Below are 19731 nucleotides of genomic sequence, written 5' to 3'. Positions count from 1 at the left end.
CACCCAAAAGGACTGAAAGCAGAGACTTACACAGATACTTGCACAGCCGTGGTCACAGCAGCATCATTCACAATAGCCCAAACGTGGAATCAAACCTCGTCCACCCACAAACAAAATGTGGGAAATCCATACAAGAGAGTGTCATTCAGCCTTAAAGAGGAAGAAAATGTTGACACATGCTACTTCATGCTACTTCATGGATGAGCAGTTTTTTGTTTGTTTGTTTGTTTGTTTGTTTGAGTTGGGGCCTCACTCTGTCACCCAGGCTGAAGTGCAGTGGCGTGATCGAGGCTCACTGCAGCCTCCACCTCCTGGGCTCAAGCAATCCTCCTGCCTCAGCCTCTGAGTAGCTGGGGCCACAGGCATGCACCACCACACCCGGCTAACTTTATGGATGAACGATGAGGACACGATGTAGAGTGAAATAAGCCAGTCACAAAAGGCCAAACACTACGATTCCACATATATGAGGGACCTGGAGCAGTCACATTCACAGAGACAGAAAGCTGAATGGTGCTTGCCAGGGGCTGGGGGAGGAGGGGTGTTCAATGGGGGCAGAGTTTCTGTTTGGGATAATGAAAAGGTTTTAAAGACAAATGGCGGTGATGGTTGGTACAACAATGTGAATATACTTAGCGCCACTGAACCGTACACTTGAAAATGGTCAAAATGGCAGATTTTCTGTTACGTATATTTTACAACTATTTTTTAAAATCCTGAAAGAATGCTGGGTGCCATGGCTCATGCCTGTAATCCCAGCACTTTGGGATGCCAAGGCGGGCGGATCACCTGAGGTCAGGAGTTCGAGACCAGCCTGGCCAACATGGGGAAACCCCGTTTCTACTAAAAATACAAAAATTAGCCAGTCTTGGTGACTGGAGCCCGTAATCCCAGCTACTCGGGAGGCTGAGACAGGAGAATTGCTTGAACCCAGGAGGTGGAGGTTGCAGTGAGCTGAGATCACGCCACCGCACTCCAGCCTGGGCGACAGAACAAGACTCTGTCTAAAAATAAATAAATAAATAAAATCCTAAAAGAAAAAAAGTTCAATTGGCTCCAAACGCCCTCAGCACACTCCTCCGCAGCCCTCCTTGGAGGCCTTGTCCTGCAGGGGTTCCGCGTGCCACTGACCCCCTCCGCCCCCAGCCTCACACCCTCCCCTCTGGGTGCAGCCTCCCCCTTCGTCGAGGTCCTTGTTGCTGCCCAATTTGCTCTCTGGTCCCCACCCGTTTGTGCCTGCTCAGCACCTTTCCAGGGCTGGAACCTGTTCTGTCTTTTCCTGCACAGGCCTGGAGACGCCTGGCAACAGGACAACACTCTGTAAATATCTGGTGAACTAATGAAGGAAGGAAGGAATGCTTGGCTCTTTGCTGGCCCCTGCCACTGCAACTTCCACGTGGTCTTCCCTGTTTCTGTTACTTCCAGCCCCCCAGAATTTGCCATCTCTACCCCACTGAATCTCCCAAGGGGAGGGGGCAGGTGCAACCCCAGAGGGGAGACTAGACCCCCTGGAGGTCCTCTGAGCAGCCCCCCAGGGCCATGTGCTCTGGGCAGTGGGAGAGCAGCCCAGAGCTCTGGTAGTAAGTCCTGAGGGGCAGCACTCCCAGGCCTGGGCCACACACGAATCAGCAGGTCCCTGATTCTTGGGATCTCTCATGTCATCAAGAACAGGACTCATGTGCTGGGCTGGTGGCACCCCGTGTTCCTGATCTTCCACTTGTTTGTTAGGCAGAGGGGTAAAGACTTTGAGGTTGGATGGACTGAGCCTCAGTTTCGTCCTTTATAAAGCTGGGTCCCCATTGACAACCCATACATCTGTCGGAGGAGAAAGGAGAAATGCACCCTGGCGTGGTCCCACGGCAGGTCACCATGGAGTGACGAGTCTGAGGGCACCGCATCCACTCCCCCACGACACGACTCCACTTATAGCAGGAATATGCACAAGCGGAGCCCAGCTGTGGGTCTGACTGGTTCTGCATCAGACATCAGAATGGGGGTCACCCTCAGGGTGGGGCGGCAGTGATGGAAGGAGCAGGAGGGAGCTGCCAGGTGCTGGGGTCCCCGGTGTCTGCATCGGGGTGCATGGCACAGGTGTGTTCATTTTCTGACAGTTCACCAGTTGGTGCCTTTATAATATGTGTGTTTTTCCATATGTCTATTATGCCTCAATAAAAGAAGAAAGGAAACAGGAGAAGAGAAGAGAAAACCCACTGAAACACACAGCAGCCCCTCTGAAAGGGTCTGGCTGAGGATGAGGACAGGGAGGCTGCTCCCAGGAGGAGTCGTGAGGAGCAGCGGGAGAAGGTGCTGGAAGTTGGTCACGTGGCCTTCTGCAAAGTGGTGCCTTCTTGCTGGAAACGCCTCTGATGCAGTGAGTACTTTTTGAGCCCAGAATCTCTGACTTCCAAAGGAAAGCCTAGGGAGGACTTGGGTGGGCTGCAGAGGGGCTGGCCACTGCTCCTTTGGAGAGGCAGCTTGGGAGGGAGGGTGGCTGCCCTGGCAACGGCGCCCAGAGCGGCACAGTGCAGGGAGTGGGCGCAGCCCGGAGCAGGCCTCGGGTGGATGGTGCAAGGGGAACTTGAGGCCGGCAGAGGCAAAGGCCAGGGAAAAGAAGGCACGGCGCAAACTTACCAGATGGAAACCTCTCCGCATCAAGACCTGCAGCTCCAGGCTCCGGGGGGAGGGACGTTCTGGTGTGGTCCAGCCTCATGCCCTCCATGTGTGGTGTAGTGAGGACGGGCTCCTTGCCTGAGACCCCTGAATATGGAGGCAGGGGTAGTGCATCCATCCTTCATGGGCAGACTCTGCTGCTCAGCATCTGGAGTGCCTGGTGCTGGGGGAGCTGCTCGAGGCAGCCCGTGGTGACGGGGCTGGGCTGGCAGGACACCCCACGCAGCCATGTCTAATAGCCGCTGCGGCCTAGCTCATTAGCACGGTAACCACCAGCCTCAGGAAGGAGGTGGACCTCAGAGTGCCAGGAACTAAGCCGAGACTTTGCAAGTTCATGCCTTTGCCTGCCCCAGCTAGCAACACGGACACCAAGGCAGAACCCGGTCTCATCCGACTTGGCTGAGCATCTGCTGACCAATGTGGAGTCATTAAAAAGCACGAGACCCTCTCGGGTGGGTTCCTGCTCTGGCCTTCCAGGGGGGGACCAGGACCCCATTTCCCTCAGAAACAAGCTGGAAGCGAGCAGCGGAGCCACTGTGCTGGGTAGGGCCACACCCTCCCATGGCAGGGGGAACACCAAGCCCCGGGCTTTCTAAGAAAGGATTTTGGCCAATGCCTGTGGCAACAGCATGACCACATGGCTTGGCCACAACCGAGTGTGTCTGTGTGGATCCTCCAGGAATCGTCTCTCTCGGAGACTGTGGTAGGAGAGGGAGGGAGGAGCGGGAGGCCCGACTCCCTGTGTTCCGAGGGTAGCTGTGGACATCCACGTGGGTTGAGAAGACAGGGCCAACCTTTTTATTTACTGCTTTTAATAATACAGAAACATGCGCAGCACATACACAGGCAGGGAGAAGGAGGAATGAGCCTCCAGGTACCTTTCACCAGATTCTGCAGTGACCTGAGTTTATGCCACTTGGAAACCACATTTCAAACCCATGGCCAGGGACGAGAGCACCCACTGCCCTCAAGCCCTGGGCTCAACTGAACAGAAGTTTTCTCCATGTCAGTCGGCTCTCCTAGAAACTTCCTCTGTACCCCAGGCCCATGCCCTTGGAAAGCCCTCTGTCCGGATGAGTCCCCCCATCCACCCACACACCCATGCACACAGGGCTCTCTGGAAAGCCCCTTCAAGTCTTTTGAGATAGTCCCGAAACAGGTGGCTTGAGAGAGAGTGAGAGCTACTTTGGGCACCACGAGACGGCCACTCGCCACCTGACGCTGTCAGAGCCTGAGCACCCCGTGATAAATGTGCTGAACTCTGAAATAGGCTTCAAAGCTAGTGCCACATGCAATTCCAAATCCGGACTCCTGGGGCTATTGGATTTCATGATTTCTCTTGCAGCCTTGGTTACGGGTTAGCATGAATCTTCTCACCCCTTAATTATAGTTCTGGCATTCGAAAAGCACACCAACACCTCTCCCTCCTTTGGCGCCATCTCCTCATTCCTCCCCACTCCCAAACGCTCGGCGAGCCACAGCTAATCCCCGGTGCCGTTTATGACTGTCCCTGTCCCTGTCCTCCAGGATCTGACCGCACACTCATTGGCTCATGCCTACTGCCTGCCTTACAAGGCAATACTGCCCACAGAGAGATGCTACTTTGGGAAGAGTCAAGAGGACAGAGAGAATGTCAGGATCTTTTTTTTTATGTGCTGAGCAAGGCCATTCCAAGGGCCGCCGAGAGCAGGCGGTGATCTGTATCGGAGATGAACTTGAACATACGCTCTCTTCCAGGGGGGCGGGAGGTGGAAAAAGTAAGCCCATGGCTTCTTTGGCTCGAGTCGGATGGAGCAAATTAAAACATTTAGGAATTTTCCTCTCCCAACGGCAGGTCTGTTTTAGGTCTGATGTCTGTCAACCAAATTAAAATAGATGAAAACGGGCCCCAGCTATGTCTCTGGGTGGAGAAGAGGCTCAGCCTTCGTGTTGGGGACGAGTGACCACGCTCTGAGCTGCTTCCCTAATTGATTGCATCTCCAGGGTGGAAAACAGACACGGAGTCCAATCCTCTCATTCTCCCCATGCCCTGCCCACACAGGGAACACAGCAGGACACTGTTGGGGTGACCCAAAGTGCTTTGGAAGCAAAGAAAAAAAAATTGAGGGGGAAATGCAAGCCTTCCAGGGCAGCGTGGTGGGTGCATGGAGCACCGGTGTTTTTAGGAGCAGTGAGTTTCGGGTGGTCCTGGGGGCACGGCTCCGTGGAGAGAGCTGCTCCACTCTGGGCGGCAGGAATAGGGTAAGGAAGGGGCCAGACCTGCACAGCCTTGCCTTAGTTCCACCCCTTCCAGGCCCTGCTTGCTGGGGAAGAGGAAAATGGCCCATTTGGCACTCTGAGATAGAAGAGAGGGAAGGACAGCAGGTCATGCGGAGAAATGAAAAAATCAGGACCACTTTGTTGGGAAAGAAGACACCACCAGGCAGCCCAGGCAGCATGGGAAAGAAAGGCCATGCCAGGAAAGGCAGGAAGGGCCCCCACAAGCCCTGACCCCCCAACACGAGGGCCGCTGAAGTGTCAGCCCCGGGATCACCGTTTGAACACTGCTGACCCCATGTCCACACTGCCCCTCCATAGGGACGAGGAGCCTATAAAATGGCAAGGAGTCCTCCATGCTGCTGCCCTGCCAGCCTTCCCCGTGGAGCCCTTAGGAAAACTGAAATCCTGCAGGAAAGAGGATGAAGGGACACGGACATTTCGGAGGTCAGGATGAGCCTTGTCTGCCTCAGGACCCCCAGCCTACCTCTGGGTATGCCTGTCATACCTGATGTCCCGTCCGTCCTACCCCCACACAGGAATGAGCCAGCTCTGCAGCCTCTCCAGGGGCCTCCTCCAGCCCACGGTGGGGGGAGCCTTCTCATCTGGGACCCCAACCCCAGCACAAGTCCTTGGCACAGGGGCTGGGCATGGGAGAGGCTGGCCAGCCTCATTTGGGCCTAGTCTCTTTGTAAGAGGGGGAAAGTGGGAGCGTCCCAGTGAGAAGGAGAGCCGAAGCGGGGACAGAGGCAGGTGCAGGAGGGGCTGGGGCAGGCTCCAGGAAGCTCAGAACCTGTGTGTGGGCCGGGGGGGGAGGTGGCACACACCAGGGCCAGAACTCCTGCGGCACTGACACCACCCCATGAAAATATTCTCAAACATAGCCTCCTCCCAGAACCCACCAGAGGATCAGCGTTTTCCTCCTCCTTTTTGCTGTCACTAAGAAGCAGCAGAGAGCGAGGTACCTAAGCCAGGCCCCTGGCCAGGAAGCAGCCTGTCCCTGGGAACTCCTGCAGGCAAGGTCCTGTACCCCTCTCCCTCCTGCTTCTCATTCCCCCAAGCCTGAGCCCCCCGAGGCTGTCTGGGTGTCCTTCCCCTAGCTGGTGGGTTTGGCTCTCAGGGTGGGCATGCTCAGCTCAAGAGGGATTGCCAAACAGCCCCTAAGAGCCCAGGCCTTCCTCTGCCAGTCGCCACTTCCCTTCCTCCCACCCATTCCCGCCATTCCTGTCCTGGGCCTCCAGCACGGACACTTTGCACAGGGGTCATGAGCCGTCTGCCACTCCTGTGAGGTCACTGGACAGATACGCTGGCATTCACTGTCCCTGCACATGGTCGTAACCAGATCAGCACAGAGCCCCTCACCCTCCTCTTGCCGGGCCTGCCGCACCCTAAAATAGCCTTGATATATGTAAGGCATCTTCTGGAACAGACTGGCCCGGTCATTTAAACATTCCAGGCGTCTTGTTTATGCTTGGTAGTTATCAATAAGGCAGGCGGGACTCACAGCGCTCATTCCTGCGAGGGGCCCCCGGATCAACAGTGCACATGTCTCCCATGGCTGGGAGCTGATGTCAGTGCCTGCGTGGGCCTGAGCGTGACGGACTGCCTCCACCCAGACTGACATCTGCCATTATAGCCTGGCAACAGGGCTGGCAGGAGCCCAGCTCCAGGGTCTTGACCCTGGCCATTTCCCCCTATGGAGAGGGAAACTGAGCCCAGAGAAGTCGCAGGAGCTGTACCAGCGGGTGGGGACCCAGGTGCCCTCCCATCGTGCTCACCAGCCCTGCTGTGGGCACAGCAGGAGAAGAGTGGGCAGGGAATGCAGGCTCCTCAAAGCCCAGGAGGTGGGAAGGAAGCTTCGTCTGCAGTTCAGGTCTTTGGTTCTTGAGATTGGACTCTGAAGAGGAAAAAGAGGCTCTGAGCACAGGAAAGGTCCTCGGAAAGACTCCCACGTACCTGCTGGGAAGCCTGGGACAACCCTCTCCCCCCTCTCCCAGCCTCCAGTCCTAGACCTGTGGACGTTTGGGGCTGGCTCATTCTTTGCCCTGGTGACTGCCTGTGCACTGCCGATGCTTAGCAGTGTTCCTGGCCTCTGCTCACCAGATGTTGGTAGCACCATGTCTGCCCCAAGTTGTGACAATCAAAAATGTCTCCAGTTAAAGGAACTCAGCCTATCAAAGAGATAGACTCACTCCCATGTTTATTACAGCAGATTCACAAAGGCCAACATATGGATCAAACCTAAGTGTGCATCAGCAAATGAAGGATAAAGAAAATGTGGTATATACATGCAGTGGAATAATATTCAGCCACAAAAAGAATGAAATCCTATCCTTTGCAGCAACATGGATAGAACCAGAGGACATTAAGTGAAATAAACCAGGCAGAGAGAGACAAATACTGCATGTTCTCACTTCCATGTGGGAGCTGCGAAAGTGGGTCTCATGGGGGTAGAGAGGAGGCTGGGAATGAGGGTGGGAGATGAAGGGAGTTTAATTAATGGGCACAGAAATCCAATTCGATGGAAGGAATGAGTTCTAATGTTCAATAATAACACAGTAGGGTGACTATAGTTAACAGTAATTTACTGTATATTTCAAAATAACTAGAAGAGTTGAAATGTTCCCAACACAAAGAAATGATACATGTCTGAAGTGATGGAGGTCCTAAATATCCCGATTTGATCGTCACACATTGTATGCTTGTATCAAAATATCGCAGGGGCTGGGCACGGTGGTTCACACTGGTAATCCCGGCACTTTGTGAGGCTGAGGCGGGAGGATGGCTTGAAGCAACTTGGGCAACATAGTGAGACCCTGTCTCTAAATAAAACAAAGCCACATGTACCCCATATACATGTACAATTATTATATGTCAATAAAAAATAAAAATTAATATTAAAGTACATTTTTCAATTAAGAAAATAATTAAATAATTAAAATGTAAAAATATGTCTCCAGGCATTGCCTACTGTCCCCCGGGGGCAAAATCGACCCTCTCTGAGCACCCTGCTGTAGATAAATGAAACCTCTCCTGGTACAGGCAAGGAGCCTGCAGGGCCCCGTCACTTTCCTCCTCACCCTCTCACTGCCAACTGGGGACATGGAGCCTACACCTGCCACCCACCAGCCCGCGCTGTGACCACTGTTCAGCTGAAGTCACCAAGCCCCCTAGAACACCTCACAGGCACGGGGGAGAGCTCCCTGCCTCCCCCAGAGGCTGAGCCTTCCTTCCAACAGCTCCTGGGGCAGTGGGACACCGAGGCCAAGGCTGCCACAGCTCCCGGCCTTGGCGCTGGGTCTTGTAGGGTATGACCAAGTTCACAGCAGAGAACATTTGAAGCAGAAAAGCAGAAGGCAGAGAAACAAAGTGGGGACAGTGTGCAATTGTCTGGGGCACAGGAGAAGATGCTGAAGCCGGCAGGGAGAAGGAAGGTGGAGAAGTACCTAGGGCAGGACCCCATACCCAGCCAAGGGCCCAGACTGTCTCAGGTGGGCGAAGGGCTGCCTGGTTTTATTTTCACCTTGCAGGTGGAGCTCTGGGTCTGGGTCCTCCCTGTCTGCCCTACAGGTGGATCTGTCCATTTTTCCTGGGCCAGGCCCCCCAAACTGCACCTTCCAGCACACTACCCCTCTCAGAGAAACACCTGCTCCTTGGGCAGCGCCTGCCAGCACCCTCAGGCCAAAGGAGAAAGATCAGGCCAGCTAGGGGCTGGGAGAGGCTCTGCGTGGTGTGGAGAGGATGCCAGCCCATGCGAGGAGGCACCAGAGGTCCCCAGTCACCTGCACCCTGCCCCTGCCCACCCTGGGAGGACCCTCCCTGTGGATGAGCTGCGCATGAAGGACCTGGGGCCTGAGGGGTCCTCATGGGCCCCAGGGGAAGCAGGTGGCCAGGAGAGATGCAAAGGTTTCCCAGACAGCACTTGGGACGACTCAGCAGCAGCCGCCTCCAAAAGTGGGGAGCAGGGCCAGAGAGCCGAGGGCAGTGCTGGGTCCCAGCCCAGCCGAGGCGGTCCCAGCGAGCTTCAGTGCGTACATGCTGCCATCGTGTGGAGCCCAGCCCTGGCGGCCCTCCAGCTGTGGGACACCCCCGGCCCCCCATGCTGGGAACCCTGCCTGGCCAGGGCATCTCTGCCCCCCTGCCCCAACCACAGGCCTAAGTGGGCCCAGATGGTGTTGGCAGAATGGGCTGGCTGGGCTGCTGCCTCCAGGGGCCCCAGAGTTGGGGCTCAGCTTGCCAGGGATGGGAGGGTGGGTGGTTTGAACAGGCAAACCTAATCCCAGGGCCTTTCAAAGAGGACTGACAGTGTGGGAAGCGGGCAGCCAGGCCCGGAGCCCAGACACAACCCAAGCCTCTGCTCTGTCTCTTCAGGCCCCATGGACCTAGAAGGATGCTCTCCCTGGCGGACTCTGTCAGCCAGCGTCTCACCTTCTCCTCTCCCCTTCTCCTCCCTGGGGTGTCTTGTGTCACAGGGAGAGCAGAACCCTGCCTTAGCCCCAGACCTGCCACCCTGTCTGCACAGCCGCTTCTCCTTGGCCTCTTCCCATCCCTCACCCCCTGACCAGGGCTGCCCCTCCCCTCTCACACCAGCCACAGCCCCTCTCTCAGCATCCACAGCCTCATCCAAAAGGACAGTAGTTGGATTGCTCAGGGGCCTGTGGGAAGCAGAGGCACACTCCAAGAGTCGAATACTAAAGGGACAGTTTAGGAAGGCATGGGTAGGGGAAGCCTTGGGCGGTTACAGGGCGTGGGTTCTGTGGGAAGGGCCAGCAAAGGGAACAGTTCTGGGCTGAGAGGGCCACAGGTATGTGGAGAGCCCCCCACCCCCTGCCACACACAGAAGCAGTGGCCTTCTGTGGAGGGACGGCCGCAGGGAGGGAATACGTGGGTCAGCCTCCCAACACACCTGCTCTCCCTCCCAGGGACACAGAGCTCCTCAAAGTGGGGTCTGAGCTGCTTTAGCACCTGGTGCCGGCGGCGTGTAAATCCATGGGACCGTCTGGGAACACACCTTGAGGCTCAGTGAACATTTCTCCCAGAGTGAGACTTTCTCCTAGAAGGGAGCAGCGTGTTGGTTTCTGCCCCAAGAGAAGCTCTTCATTTCGGAGAGGCACTGTGAAGAGCGCTGATCAAAGAAGAAAAGAGAAGATCGAAGCACAATCACAGATAAATAAGAGAATGACCCCTCTGTGCTTGGCCCTGCACCACCCACTCTGCGCCCTGGAGGCTGGCCCGGGCACGAGGTCCTCTGGGCTCCTGGCATCTGTTCATTGGCTTTGGCCAAGAGAGGCTCCAAGTGAAGAGTGGGAGAACAGGGAGGCTGGGATTTCTTCCCTGCTCCCTTTCCTTGGGTGCCCTGGTCCTGCCAGTGGCTGGGTCCCTTCTGTCCTCACTGTGGCCCCAGCTCTCTCTGGACTCTAGGATACCCCTGCCCCTTCAGGCCTTGGGGTGTGTGTGTGTGTGTGTGTGTGTGTGCATTACAGCTTCCTGCTGTTGTTCATCTCCAGGCGTTACAACACCCTTGCAGGTTATCTTTCTTATCTTTATTTTTTAAGAGACAGGGTCCCTATGTTGCCCAGGCTGGACTCAAACTCCTGGGCTCAAGCAATCCTCCCACCTCAGCCTCCCAAGTAACTAGGACTACAGTTGCACACCACCTCACCTGGCTGTTGTGGGTCATCTTATCACCCACCCTCCCTGCGACACACACCTCACCAATCATTCTACAGTCAAGTCCCTAACACTTGCTGTTTTCCATGAGGATTCTGGTCATCTTCAAACACGCATACCAACACACACACACACACACACACACACACATCTATCCATCACCACAACATTTTCCTTCTACGTCCCAAATGTTGGGTCTACCAATATTAAGAATCTGCACCCCAAAATATGCCACTCTGGCATGTTGATTATTTTGAGTTAAAGGGACCTGAAAAGCAAGAGGTGCTAGAAGATCCCTCTGATCTTCATTTTCTTTCTCAAAAGCAGGAGACGAAATTCCCATGTGAAAGATGTCCTCCCCATACTGAAAGGAAACTGCCACTCTTATCTCCAAGGACAGGAAGCTGGGGCCAACGGAACTCTGTGCAAACAAACCTCGTTAAACTAATCCTCATCGTCCCAGCCACTTCTCCACCCAGCCAGCCCCCAGCCTGGGCCCCTGGGCCTTGGCCCATTTTCAAGCGTCCTGCTCTTTGTCTCAGGCAGTGCCTACGTGTTCAAACTGTAACTGCGCCTCCGGGCCTTAGGAAGGCTCCCATGCCTGTGAGTCGTGTGGTCTGTCAATTGTGTGCGTTTCTCCTGCTGATCTGTCTTGTATCACTTTAATTCTCACCCAAAAACCCTTGAAGGGGTGGAGGGGAATTTTTGCACCCTCCACCCCAATACTGCCTTCAAACGCGGCAACTCCACAGGGCTGGGCCTGGCCACTCTCAAGTCTAGCGGCTCCTCACTGCCTCCCACCAAACCTCACCCACCCTGGCTGAGCAGCCGCTTCCTGCCACAGCCCAGGCCATGGGGCTCCCTCTTCTCACAGTCCAGCTCCTACCAGCTCTCAGTGCACCTATAAGAACCATCCATCAGAGCTTGTCGCTCCTCTGCTTAAAACCCCAGGAATCAAATCTCAGGTCTGGACAGAGGCTGCCAAGACCCTGTGAGACCTGGCCCCAGGGACTCATCCTAATCTTGCTTTCCTTGCCTGTGCTTCTCAGTGGGCCCCAGGGCTGCCATGGTGACCTTGCTGGGCCATTGCCCAGTCCCCAGACCACTCCTCCCACCTTCCATGTCTGAGAACATAGGCCCTCTTTAGAGGTGCCTGTCCCAACCCCACATCCACTCTGAAGCCCCCTGTTCCTTTCTGTGGGAACTTCTAGAAGGTTCTTTCCTTCTTCTTGCTCTCAGCCACCTCCAGAGCCCCCGTCTGCCCTCTCGTGGTTTTCCCATGGACCTGTGAAGCAAATATACCCCTTGGGGAGCTAAGAGGGTCTCTGAGGAACCTGGACCCCAATGTGAGGGTCCAGCCAGTGAAGGTCCTGGACCCCCACTCTGAAGCTACCTGGGATTAGCATATCCAAAGGTACCAAGGAGAATGGAAATTTCCTCCCCTCTGGAAAATTGGGTGGACTTCCAGAGAAAGTTCTCGGTGAGCTTTTAAAGTGGCTGATTGAGAATTCTATGAAATGTCTGCAGTGTCTCCTGGCAAGCCCAGTCGTGGGTGATTAAAATACGACAACCTCATAACCACCCCCAGAAGCCTTTGCACACCCGCCCTTACAGGGAGGCTTAAGGAAATTAAAGGGCTGAAATGATTGCTTTTTCCCCAGCAAGAAAGATTGGGCCACTTAATGAAGAACTACCCTTAATCTTGGACAAACTAGGTCTAATTTCTTCAAATTATTCCACATTTCACCAATTTCATTTTTCCCTTTTACTCAAGGGTGTCTGGGCAGGCACGCCCTGCACCCTGCAAAAAGCCTGGATGTGAGACTGTCTCATTTTCTTCTACCACACACGGAACATCTCAGCACTGATTATTTTCAACAGGGAGGAAAGTGGGCCTGGGGAGTGGGTCTGGAGAGTGCTCAGGAGGCCTGTCCTCGCGCTGGAGCTCACAACCAGAGCTTCATTAGCACCGATTGATCGCCAGCTGCCTGTCAACAGGAAGGAGGACGTGGCACCTCGCATGCCGGGCACAGTCCAGGCTGACGGGCGGAAAGCATTTGCAAGTCCCCGAAGGGGATGCACGTAAGCAGCTCGTTTGGAAATCTCAGTTACATCTTGCCTCTGTTCTCTAAATGCTTGAAAGAAAGGAAGACAAGCAGTGGCTGAGCATCCACCGAGGGGCCCAGCACGGAAGCCGGGGCGTCACCGTGATCCTGTCACTGCTGCTCCATTTGACCGTTAGGAGAACTGAGGGCCAGAGGGCTGATGCCCAGGAAGTGGCGGGGCTCCAAAGACTGTGTCCTGTTGTGCCACGTGTCTGCCCCAGAGGGACATCCGTCTTCAACTCGATTGTGTGTGCTTTGTGTCTCTACCGTCTGGCGCCCCGTAGGTGCTGGGTAAATGTTGGCCGAGTGAACTCTTCGGGGAAGGAGTGGGGGAAGAACGTTCAAGCTGGAAGAGTCTGCAGTGGCCATGGATGGCTTTGCATACTCAACCTTTGCCCCCTTGGTTCAGCAGGCAGCGCTTCCATCCCAACCCTCCCCCCGATGAGTCCTTGGGGTTTGAGTGGCAGAACCCTATCCCCAGCTGGCCAGAGCACGCCCTGCCCCTGTGCCCACCATGGGAGAGGGTCAGAACCCAAGCCAAGCCAACCACTGTTGATGCTAGGACTTGTGTTGTTATCCCTGGGACACAGATGCGAGTGTCTGTCATCAAACCTTGAGGCTAGAAGGACCTGAGGCCAGAGCTGCTGGGACAGGGAGTGGAGAGGCTCTGCCTGGGAATGAAGCCAGGAAGAGCAAACAAGATGGGAGAGAAAAACTGGTGTGGCCATTCCTGTGCTCCTCTGCACAGGAGTCGGTCAGTCGTCTTTCTTTCATCTATGTATTTATCTTGAGACAGAGTCTCACTCTGTCACCCAGGCTGGAGCACAGTGGTGTGATCTTGGCTCACGGCAACCTCCGCCTCCCAGGCTCAAGTGATCCTCCCGCCTCAGCCTCCCGAGTAGCTAGGACTACAGGTGCATGCCACCACACCCGGCTAATTTTTTATATTTTTAGGAGAGATGGGGTTTCACCATGTTGACCAAGCTGGTTTCGAACTCCTGGGCTCGGGCGATCTGCCCACCTCTGCCTCCCGAGGTGCTGGGATTACAGGTGTGAGCCACCGTGCCCAGCCCTCCCTTTCTTTCTACTGAAGCCATTTGGGTTGGGTTCCTTTATCAGCTAGTGAGGGGGTCCTCACCATTACAAACCGCCTTGAACAAGCAGGGCTGGTTTATTTAGGAAGCGATTCCCAGAAGCACTGGAGAGGTGTGGAGACCTGAGCCTGGTAAGGGAAGGAGCCGGCATAGGGAGAGCTACGGAACAGCTTCCCCTGTGGGGAACCGGGGCTCAATCCCACTGCAGACCCATGGGAGACAGCCTGGAATCGCCTCGGTGGTGTCCTGCCAGAGGAGCAAGGAGGGCGGCTCTGAGGGCGTTAACTCCCCGCACGTCCAACCTGCCACACTCTCCACCAGCCAGAAAACATGTCCAGCAGAGTCAAGAGCCTTCCCTCAGTGTCCATGGAAGTGGTGAGAGCCCAGGGGATCTGGGCAGAACCAGCATCATTGGTCACCCTTTTCATTTTACAGGGGGAGGAACAAAGGCCCAGGACAGCAAAAGGACAGGCAGTCACACAGAGGATTCATGGCAGCCCCGGATCCAGACCAGGCATCCTGGCTGACACCCCAGCATGCAGCATTCTCCTTCTTGCCTGCATCTCTGCAAATTTGGTGACCGCTACTAAACTGCAGTCTCCTCTGGGCAGGGACTGGACTCCAACTACTTAGGACAATCAGAAAGATTTTGATGGGCACCTGCTCTGTGCCATCCCTGGGCTGGGCTCTTGGACTCTGGCGAGTGAAAAACCTACCCCTGCCTTTGCAGGGCACCCAATGCCATGCTCTTAAAGACTCGAGGGCATCTTGAGTGAGGTGCCCAGTTTTGCAGGTGACCTTGGGGAGTCACCATCAGTAGCAATAAAAGGTCCCATAAGAACAGTACTTTTTAGCTTACAACACACTTTCCCATCTGTCACATTTAAAAAATCTCGCCAAAACTCATGGAGCCTGTATCCTCTGTAAAAGGAGACAAAGGCACTATAGCCCTAGCCACAGGCTGAAGGGACCATGTGCCTGGGCGCTCTTGGTAAATCGGAACATGTTTGCCTTGCAGGGAACCAACAGCCGCGACCCGCTGCAGACCCCAGTGTGGAACTTCAGTGAGGGTCCTTGGGGTTGCAAGCGACAGAAACACAACTCAGACTAGCTGCAGATAGAAAGAGAATGTAAGAATTGAGAATTGTAACATAAAGGGGCTCAAACACTGTTTCTCTTTTCTCCTCTATTCTTCTCTCTCTTTCTATCCTTTCTCTGCCTCCTTTTTATCTCTGCTTCCCTCTTGGTTGACCTCATTTTCCCTCCTGCCCTAGATCCTTCCTCTAGGATCTCTGTGCTGAGAATGTACCACCAGTTTCACAGCGCCGATGGAAAGGGTGTGTTTCCTCTGTACATCCATATGCCAACATATGGGCATGGATTACTCCAGTTTAGGACACATGCCCACCCCTTGAGCCACCTCTGGTGGGGAGTGTTCTGTGATTGGCTAGACGAAGAGGAAGCAGAGGTCTGCGCTTGAGCCCTCCCAAGACCTCACCGAGTGGATCTCCAAAGCAAGGACGTTAGATTGTCCAAACAACACCCTGATGAGCGGATTTTCAACTCTTAGTACAGGGTCTGGCACATGAGAGGGTGCTCACGAGAGTTTGCTAATAAACAAATCAATGAATATAGAGTTGGATAAATGCTATTTTTATACAGTATACAGTGCTATTTTTAAAAAGAACATTCCTGCTTCTTTCCGCTCAGTTACACCTGGATGCGTAACTTTATGTGTGTTTTTGTGTGGCTTTGAGGCATCTTATTTTCCCAGCATTAAAACAAAGTTACCACCTTTACCACTGCAAACTTCATTCTTTCAGAACATGGCATACAAAGCCCATCAAAACTGATGACCAAAGCAGGGGATAGTGGTACGTGCCTGTAATCCCAGCTACTCAGGAGGCTGAGGTGGGAGGATCCCTTGAGCCCAGGAGTTCAAGACCAGCTTGGGCAACATAGCCAGACCCCCGTCTCTAAAAAAATTTTGATTACCAAAATGGTGATCTCATGACTGTTTTTCTAGGATTTCCTGGAAGTTACCCAAATGTATCTTAAGTCTCTATGCCAGATTCCAAGCTTGGGTTCTAACCCAATATCAGATGGACTGAGAAAGCTTCCGTTGATGTGCTTGATGCTGTGACACACTGCCCAGCTTCACGCTCACCACCCAGGATGGAGGCGCTCACTCCCAGATGCTAAGTGTGCAGTTGGCTTATAGCTTATAGCTCTCAGCTGAGTCTTCTCTGGGGGTTGCCCTCATCCTAACAGACTTGCCTCACCCAAGGTCATACCCCCTTGCCAGGGCGGTCCACGTATAATGACCAGTAGGTATGGGGGTCAAAAAACTCTGCACCCTTTCCCCCAGGGTGGCCGACTCTGGTGGGCCATCCCGTTCAGAGGCCCCGTGGGATTGACCAGGCCCTTGTTGTGATGGCCCCGCAACTCAGCTGCTTCTGCTCTATCCTCATTACTTTAGCACCTGTCCCAGCAGGTTGGTCCAAAGGACACTGCCTGCAAGTTTCATCTCGAAGACCAAATGCCAGGGAACCCAACCTGCAACAGATGGCACCAGGAGTGGTCCAGGGATCTCTGAAATGGGATTTTGGAGTTGGCTCAGTCACCAGATGGCTGGCAATGAGGACTCTATCATCAGCGATAGGGGAGCATTGATGGTCCGCGGTGTGGGGTAGAGGTGCAATGAAGACCAGCAGAAAGGAATGCACAGCTAACACAATGGATCAAGTATCTGAGGAGAACGAGGGAAATACTCATCACAGGGCTGTGGAGTTGGATGGCTGTTGCTGGGGGCAACTGCAGCATCGGAGAAAGACAATCAAAGACTGAGGGTGGTTAATCACCAATTAAAGGCCAATTACGATAACCAGAGGGTCTCCTTAGTACCATATAAATTAGAGACTCTCATCTCCTGCAGCTGGAGGGCAGAAAAGCTGAGGATCTGGCCCAGGACTTAATTCTAAGTATTACAGAGCTGGCAAAGAGGTTGGATTCCCAAAACCTAGGCAAATCTGACATATCTGGGTTAGGGCTGGGGCTGGAATCACCTGAAAGCTCACTCACTCAGATGCCTATTAGCACCTGCGCAGGGAAGGCAAGCGGCTGGGAGCTGGAAGAGCTGGTGCTCCTTGGACATCTGTCTCTATGTGGGTGTCTCTGTGGGTCTGTCCAAGGAGGAAGCTTCAGAGCAGCTGGATTTTCTACATGGTGGGCCCAGGATCCAAACCAAGTGTCCCAAGAGAGAGGGAGCAGAAGTGAGTGCAGCCTTTTTGACTGAACCATGCTCTATGAATGCAATGGTGAGGGCAAATCTTCCCACTGGGCAGAGCTTCAGGTGGGGCTCCCCGTGATCCACTTTGTATGAAAAGCATCCTGGCTCAAGGATGGCGCATATAGGATTCTTGACCAGTGAAGAATAGTTTGATTGACTTCTCAGAGACTAGAAAGAAAAGAGTGGCAGATCAGGGAGGGGGAGGTCTGTGGAAGAGGCAGGTGGGAGTGCTTTGAGAAAGGGTATCATGTGGCCAGAGGAAGGTCTATTCATGTGAATGCCCGCTGAGCACAATACAAAGGAAGAGGCAATGCAGACCTTAGGAGACAGAATGACTTGGCCAGCTGATGTCAGCCTGCCTCTGTCATCGGCCACCCCGTGCTGTGACCATAGCCGTGGGCCTGGCCACATGGCCTCCCATTGACGTAGGCTGCTACAGCCCCAGGAGCTCCTGAGGCTGAATGTCCCACCTGCCAGCAACAGAAACCAACAGTGAGCTCCCAGCAGCAGCAGAGCCTTTGAGCTTCATCCATATTTACAGCCTTTCCCCATGGCTTGCATTACCTGCTGAGCTCTGCCTCCTGTCAGATCAGTGATGGCATCAGATTCTCTTAGGAGCACAAACCCTATTGTGAGCTCCCAGAGCTCCCAGCAACAGCAGAGCCTACACTGCACCCTTCCACCCTGGAAAAGGCAGCCATTCATCATGACCAGAATTGACACATACCCAGGGGACTAGTCAGTTCTCTAGAGAAACAGAACCAATAGGACAAGTATATACGGTTCATCCTTGAACAGCAAGGGGCTGAACTGCATGGGTCCGCTTTTGGGTTTTGGGGGTTTTTGTTGTTGTTGTTTTTAGAGACAGGGTCTCCCTCTATCACCCAGGCTGGAGTGCAGTGGCACCATCACAGCTCACAGCAGCCTCAAACTCCTGGACTCAAGCAATCCTCCCACCTCAGTCTGCTGAGTAGCTGGGACTACAGGTGCATGCAACCACACCCAGCTAATTATTGTTATTATTATTATTATTTTGTAGAAATGAGATCTTGCTGTGTTGCCCAGGCTGGTCTCAAAATCCTGGCCTCAAGCAATCCTCTCACTTCGGACTCCCAAAGCATTAGAATTCCAGGGTGAGCCACCACACCCAGCCCAAGGGTTCACTCCTATGAAGATTTTCTCCTGCCTCTGCCCTCTCTGAGACAGCAAGACCAATCCCACCTCTTCCTCCTCCTCCTCAGCCTACCCAACATGAAGATGAAAATGAAGATCCTGATGACCACTTCCACTTAACGAATAGTAAATATATTTTCTCTTTCTTATGATTTTTCTTAGTAACATTTTCTTTGCTCTAGCTTACTTTATTGTAAGAATACAGTATATAATACATATAACATACAAAGTATGTGATAATTGTGTTATCAGGAAGGCTGCCCATCAACAGTATGTTGTTTATTGGTAATTAAGTTTTGGGGGGAGTCAAAAGTTACTAGTGGATTTTCTACCACACGGAGGGGTGGGGTCGGTGTACCAAACCCCCATGTTATTCAAGGGCCAACTGTATAGACAGAGAGATTTAGTATATGGAATTGGCTCATGTGCTCAGGAGGCTGACAGCCTGGAGTCCCAGGAGAGCTGCCGGTGCAGATGGAGTCTGAAGGCAGCCTTCTGGAGCAGGAGTGAGAGCGGCGGGCAGGTGAGCAAGCTTTTCCCCATGGCTTGCATTACCTGCTGAGCTCTGCCTCCTGTCAGATCAGCGATGGCATCAGATTCTCTTAGGAGCACAAACCCTACTGTGAACTGCGCATGGGAGGGATCTAGGTTGAGCGCTGCTTATGAGAATCTAATGCCTGATGATCTGTCACTGTCTCCCATCACCCCCAGATGGGACTGTCTAGCTGCAGGAAAACAAGCTCAGGGCTCCCACTGATTCTACATTATGGTGAGTTGTATAATTAGTTCATTGTATATTACAATGTAATAATAACAAAAATAAAGTGCACAATAAATGTAATGAGATTGAATCATCCCCAAACCATCCCCCAACCCTGGTCCATGGAAAAATTGTCTTCCACGAAACCGGTCCCTGGTGCCAAAAAGTCTAGGGACCGCTGTTCTGGAGGATTCCCCTTGCTCAGGCTCGCCCTACTCAAGCCTTCACCTATAGGATGCCACTCACCGCATTGCGGAAGGCAATCCGCTGTACCCAAGGCCCCTGGCTGGAATGTTAACCTCTTCCAAGCTGACACATAAAATTCCCCATCACATCCAGGAAGTGGTTTGCTTTTCCTGGCCAGAAAGTCACAGAGAGCTCCCACCTCACCCTCAACCCCGTCCCCCCACCCACCTCACCCCATCTGAAGATTTACAGTGCTTGATCCACCAATATGGACTCCCACATAAAATCACAGCAAAAGAGGTGTGACCATGTGCACATAACCACAGGACACACCATCAGTTACAGACCCTGCCATCCAAATGCTGTGGACTGATAGGAAGCAGAATGGTTTGTTTTAGGCAAAGCTGAGATGCCAGTCTGAAGATGAGCCCATGTCCTCCAAGGTGCAAATTCCCTAAATGAATGGCCATGATATGGTGTTCTGCCCCTGGTAGATCAAATAGAAATGTTAACCTGTATACCTATATA

At 53.6% G+C, this 19731-nt stretch overlaps 1 annotated feature.

Annotated features, from left to right (window-relative positions):
• Positions 10926-11220: an enhancer, noted in NCBI's record as "tiled region #10698; HepG2 Activating DNase matched - State 6:EnhF, and K562 Activating DNase unmatched - State 1:Tss". NCBI's record gives its function as "activates a minimal TATA promoter and a strong SV40 promoter by Sharpr-MPRA in HepG2 and K562 cells {active_cell/tissue: HepG2 | K562}" and the evidence as "EXISTENCE:reporter gene assay evidence [ECO:0000049][PMID:27701403]".

The sequence above is a fragment of the Homo sapiens genome, chromosome 14 (assembly GCF_000001405.40).
Source record: "Homo sapiens chromosome 14, GRCh38.p14 Primary Assembly".
Taxonomy (NCBI): domain Eukaryota; kingdom Metazoa; phylum Chordata; class Mammalia; order Primates; family Hominidae; genus Homo; species Homo sapiens.
This window is presented reverse-complemented; position numbering and strand designations above follow the sequence as displayed.